The following is a 6,000-nucleotide window of genomic DNA, read 5'->3' on the forward strand; positions in this document are numbered from 1 at the left end:
GCATCTTATATAATCAGTATGAGTCACTCAAGTAAAACCCATTATGGAAAAATTACTCTCTAAGGAGTTATAATATTGTGCTTGGGTGGCTTCCTTTTGGTCAGGAAGCAGAGCTGCACTTCCAAGATTCATAATTGGCTTAGAAAGCTCAGACAGTGCATTTCAGTAGGGTTGTAATTGTAATATGTACAAAGGCTTACAGAAATACCCAGAATCAGCACACCCCAACAACAACAGCAAAAAGATACCTCTTTTGAACTTTGGTTTAAAATATTAAATTGAGTAATTTTAAAAAAGATGTTTATGAGTTAAAATAATTCTTAAAATCTATAATGTATAAAAATATCAGCTCAATATAAGCAGTTCTTTATGGTGCACTTATCAAAATACATACAATAATATTTAATTAAAATATAATCTTATCCTTTATTTGTCTTGGAGAAAATTTTCTTTGAGTTTATCATGGGAATGGTATGTGGGTTTCTCATTTATTGTGTAGTTGGGTTTGCTTATTGGCAGCCCAGAAGGGTTTAAAATAATTCAACAGTAGTGTTGAAATAATAAATGTACAATCTCTTTATGAAGCTTTAATATGAAAAAAAAAACTATATTTGGTCAGTGTAGAAATTCAGATGCTGCTATTCTACCCCAATTTGATATCCTTAAATATTCTGTTTTGAGGATTAAAATGTTCTTTTAGGCTGGGTGCGGTGGCTCACGCCTGTAATCCCAGCACTTTGGGAGGCGGAGGCAGGCAGATCACGAGGTCAGGAGATCGAGACCATCCTGGCTAACACTGTGAAACCCTGTCTCTACTAAAAATACAAAAAATTAGCCGGGCGTGGTGACGGGTGCCTGTAGTCCCAGCTACTGGGGAGGCTGAGGCAGGAGAATGGCATGAACCTGGGAGGTGGAGCTTACAATGAGCCAAGATCACACCACTGCACTCCAGCCTGGGTGACAGAGCGAGGCTGGGTCTCAAAAAAAAAAAAAAAATTTGTTTTAGTCCAGTTGGATTGCTACAACAAAGTACCATGGACTACGTAGTTTATAAACAACATAAATTGGTTTCTCTCCATTCCAGAGGGTGGAATGTCCAAGGTCAAAGTGCCAGTGGACTTGGTGTCTGGTGAAGGCCCATTTCCTAGTTCATATAAGGGGACTTTTCTCTGCATCCTCACATAGTGAAAAACAAAAGGCAGCTCCCTGGGGACTCTTTTTAAAGGTTGGATACCATTCACGTGGGCTCTGCTCTCATGACCTAATCACCTCCCAAAGGCCCCACATCCCAATGCCATCACACTGGTGATTAGGTTTCAACATATAAATTTGGAGGAGGTACAAACATTCAGACCATAAAAAATATAGAGACTGAAAATACATAGTGAATTTTTAAATGTTTTCAGCAATCTAGAAGAAATCATCTTTGTTTTAGCTTCTATATCATTATGTAAGATCATTGAAATGGGACTTGCTGATGTTCATTGGAATTTCATACGTGTCTTGAAAACCCATGGAACATACTCCTGCAAGATCATTTTTTATTTTTTTGAGATGGAGTCTCTCTCTGTCGCCCAGGCTGGAGTGCAGTGGCATGGTCTCGGCTCACTGCAAGCTCTGCCTCCCAGGTTCACGCCATTCTCCTGCCTCAGCCTCCCGAGTAGCTGGGACTACAGGTGCCCGCCACCACACCGGGCTAATTTTTTGTATTTTTTTTTAGTAGAGATGGGGTTTCACCTTGTTAGCCAGGATGGTCTCGATCTCCTGACCTCATGATCTGCCTGCCTCAGCCTCCCAAAGTGCTTGGATTACAGGCGTGAGCCACCGCGCCCAGCCCTGCAAGATCATTTTTGAGAACACTTCTCATATTTTTGGAAGCTACAAAATAGATTATTAGTGCATTCTAAGTTGGAATACCATGCTCCTTGTCTCCTCACAGAAGCCAAAATTAGTTTTAACAAGAACACTACAAAATAAACATGTTTAAATAAAATTAAATATTTAATTGATTTTTGCACTGTGTTTTCCAGTAAAGCAAAATAAAACAAAATATTTTAAGATTTATATTTTAGATGATCTGTATTGACTTTCTGATGAGCAAGTAAAATCAAATTAGAAGAATGAGCACATTCTTTTAAGATTATTAGGTTCATTTAACAAACACTTATTGCCAGGCATAATTGCTAATGACCAGAGATGTCAAAAATACCCTCCCATCCTTGAAGGTGCCCATAGACTCTCTAGAAAGGAACATCTCCACGGATCACAGTAGAAGAATCCAGGCAAAATGTGAGAGTAATATGCCAAGATGTGAAAATGTTCAGAAAAACAACATATTATTTTAAATATCTGAGCCAAGTCTCAACCATCAATCTATTTGTTAGGTACAACATTTGCAACAAACCAGCAGCTCTTTACAGCAGCTCTTTCGCGATAGCTCAGTCAGGGCTTGGCTGAAATGAGGTATTTAATACATATTCTGAGAAGTGATAAGAGTAGTGCTACTTAGGATGTATCAGATTTGTTTTATTTCTATCTTTTTTGTTCTCTGATCCAAGATGATACTCTCTGCCCTTCATCTTTGTGGATTACATTGAAAAGAAAATATGATTTTATTTGTTAAGGGAGCTCTTCATGCGCAAATGGGCTACAGTCTCACCTGCTGGCACTAGCTCTGTTTGTGATAGAAATTTCTACAACCTTTTCTTTTCTTTCTGTTTTTTTTTTTTTTTCCTAACCTTCAAGCTTGTTGCAGGATAACACAGAGCACTATCATTGACTCTCATCGTGGCAAAGCAGATGTTCCTTGGCCTTGTGCAAGCCCCACCTGCACCACTCTGGATGTCCCTGACTGCAAGACACACAGTCAAGAGGTCCTAATGTCAGTCACTTGTGCTCTCTAAAAGTGTAGTGCCTCTTTTTCTTTGTCTGCTTTAGACTGTCACGTTAAGGGGAAACAGTGTATGAATGCCAAATAAAAGAAAAGCAACTAAAATTGGTAGACATGCCTTTTTTAGCTTCAGAGAAGTCAGCATTTAATCCAGACATTTAGTGCCTTGGTTTTTATTCAAAATTTAAGACAGACTTTTACACAGATAAATGATTGCACTGACAAGACCCTCTGGGACACTAAACCATTATTTATAATTACTGTTCAAGTGTGTTTTTGAAATTGAAGGTCTGCATGTACCTGCCAAAAAACTATTTTCAAAGAACTTTACTTTATTAATTACACTCATGTTTGTGTATTAAAGAAATCATACAGAATACTTAAATTATAAATAAAAATGGGATTGGAAATACCAGGTAAAAAATGGTTGATTTTCCTAAATTTGAATAAAGTAAAATGAGAAATTTAATCAGGAAAGAGATTATTGTGTAGGTCATTTTTATAACCCTTTTTATTTGTGGAAAAGAAAAGCAGTTTATCTTTTTAGTTATATAATTGCTGTTTAAATCATTTCTTTCTACGAAATTCCATGTTTATGTTAAATCAAAAGATAAAAATGTTAGTGCCCTCTGTAAGGGGGAACTGAAAAGAAAGAAAAATGAGTTAGAAATTCAAGAAATGAAAAGTTCTTCAATTTAAAATTTAGCCTTAGAATATTAATACATTTATTGGATTATCTCAAATGTTAAAAATTGAAACATTTTCCTATTGGATAAATGTTTTGATAAAGTTATAACATGGTGAGCTTGAGTGGGACGGGTCTAATTTTATTTTGACATATAAATAACCTATTATATTATCCATCATCAGAAAAATATCTATTTGATAGAACTCAAGGCTTTGGAATAAAATTTTAGTTTGTAAACAGGTATGTAAATAAAAATAAGAAATGTATATCAGCTTCTGTATGTAAAGCTATTGAATGTAATTAAAATAAACATATTATGTAAATGAACAATAAATCAGACATGATATATTATTGATACTATGGACAGAATCTGAATTTGATAAATTATGATCTAAAATACCAAATTTGTATAAATTATCATGCACTTCAATTACCTTATTGAATTAGAAATGTAATTTTTCCATTTAAAAATATTAGTTATTTTCTCATCTTTTTTGGAATAAGATCTTAAATTGTTTTATTCTTTAATTTAAAATATTATAGATGAATCTAAATTTTAAAATGAGCACATAAATTTAAAAATATTTTAAATCTCATAAAAATACAGTCATTGACTCTTTTAGAAAAACATTCTTAAAATTAATTTATTATTAATTGAAAAATAATAATTGTGTATATTTATGGGGTATGATGTATAGTTTTGATTAATGTGTACCTTGTAGAAAGATCCAATCAAGCTAATTAACTTAATCATTGACTCTTAACAGTATAATAGAAGTGATCACAGAAATTGGAGAAATCTACCTCTAAGTCTTATTTTAATGAAATGATTCAGATTAACATATTTTACTGATACAAAATATAAAGATAAATTTTGTAAACCTAACTTTCAAGTGTATTTTGAAGTTTTTGTTTTTGTTGGTCATTTAATTGTGTTTATAAAATTTTAGGAGATTTTACTTTCTACCTAGGAAATGTCTCAAAATGGACAATATAATTTTACTTATGTCTCCTCTTTGGAAAATTAATAAGTTAATTTTTATTTTGCAACACAGTGAATACATACAAGTGAAAAATTTAAAAAATGTAGTTTTCAAGTTACAAAATGACTGTAAAGTAGTACATCCATTCTGTGCACAGTGGCTCACACCTGTAATCCCAGCATTTTGGGAGGCCGAGGCAGTCAGATCATGAGGTCAGGAGCTCGAGACCAGCCTGGCCAATATGATGAAACCCCATCTCTACTAAAAATAAAAAAATTAGTTGGGCATGGTGGTGCATGCCTGTAGTCCCAGCTACTTGGGAGGCTGAGGCAGAAGAATCACTTGAATTCAGAGGCAGAGGTTGCAGTGAGTTGAGATCATGCCACTGCACTGCAGCCTGGGCAAGAGAGCAAAGCCTCTGTATCAAAAAAATAAAAATAAAAAATAAAAAAAAAAGTAGTACATCCAGCCAGAATATGTCAAAAATAAAGCTTAAGAAACAGCTGCTAAATCAATCTATTACCACTGTGCAACAAAACAATTTTACTTTGTTCCTTATTAGTACAGATGATTTGTTGCAACCATTTCTTTTTTTCTTAGAGTTGAAGAAAATAACCATTTAAGTATGCATTTTGATTATTTTGGTGTATAAAAATGTAGTGTGTCTGTGTGTGTAGGCACATGTGCATGAAGGCATTGATATCAAGAATTTAAAAATGTCACCTTTTTGTACAACTAAGGATATTCTGGAAGTTGCAAACGATTATAAACTGACTTTTTTTTTTCTTCTGTTGAGGCAGAAAGTAGGAGACTTTCAACGTACTTCTCTTAAATCATCTCAGGATATTGCCCAAATATCATTGATTTCCAGTCAATCAGTAATGTAACATCTATTGTCACAGGATGGAATTTAAAGAGTAAAGTCGAAATAATTTGCTTTCAATAAAATAAAGTTAATTGTACTTGACTCTCTGGCTTCAAGAAATGTGGAAAATCTCAACAGTGGCAAGCATAGAAATTAAAATGATTAATGAATAATCAAGAGTCCTATGAGCCAGTGGGTGGTGTGAGAGTCACTCACAATAAAATGGCATAAAGTCCATTCCTATGAAGAAATGACTAAAGTGTACCACAGTCCCAGAGACAAAGAGAAAATTATTAGCTTTTTGTTAGAAAAGAGAACAGGAAACACTGGAAATGACAGGCTGCATAGCTATATCAGCTGTACCAGATTCTTCTGATAACCATGCTACCCAAGCTTGCTGAGACAAGGTGCTATGGTTTGCATATGGTTTATCTGGTCTGCCAAGTCTCATGTTAAATTTAATCCCCACTATTGGAGGTGGGGTCTGGTGGGAGGTGTTTGTATCTTGGCAGTGGATCCTTCATGATTGGCTTGATGCCATCCTAGTGGTAATGAGTAAGTTCTCGCTTTATTA

At 34.5% G+C, this 6,000-nt stretch overlaps 1 long non-coding RNA gene across 2 annotated transcripts in view; it reads left to right on the forward strand.

Moving 5' to 3' along the window:
* Positions 1-3,040, forward strand: part of LOC105378961 (uncharacterized) — a 30,013-nt gene extending 26,973 nt beyond the window's left edge. For both annotated transcript variants that reach the window (XR_948318.2, XR_948317.2), the window contains exon 4: positions 2,746-3,040. This is a non-coding gene — a long non-coding RNA (uncharacterized LOC105378961). The remainder of the gene's footprint in view (positions 1-2,745) is intronic.
* Positions 3,041-6,000: the final 2,960 nt, after the last annotated feature.

This window comes from Homo sapiens, chromosome 5 (assembly GCF_000001405.40).
Source record: "Homo sapiens chromosome 5, GRCh38.p14 Primary Assembly".
NCBI lineage: Eukaryota > Metazoa > Chordata > Mammalia > Primates > Hominidae > Homo > Homo sapiens.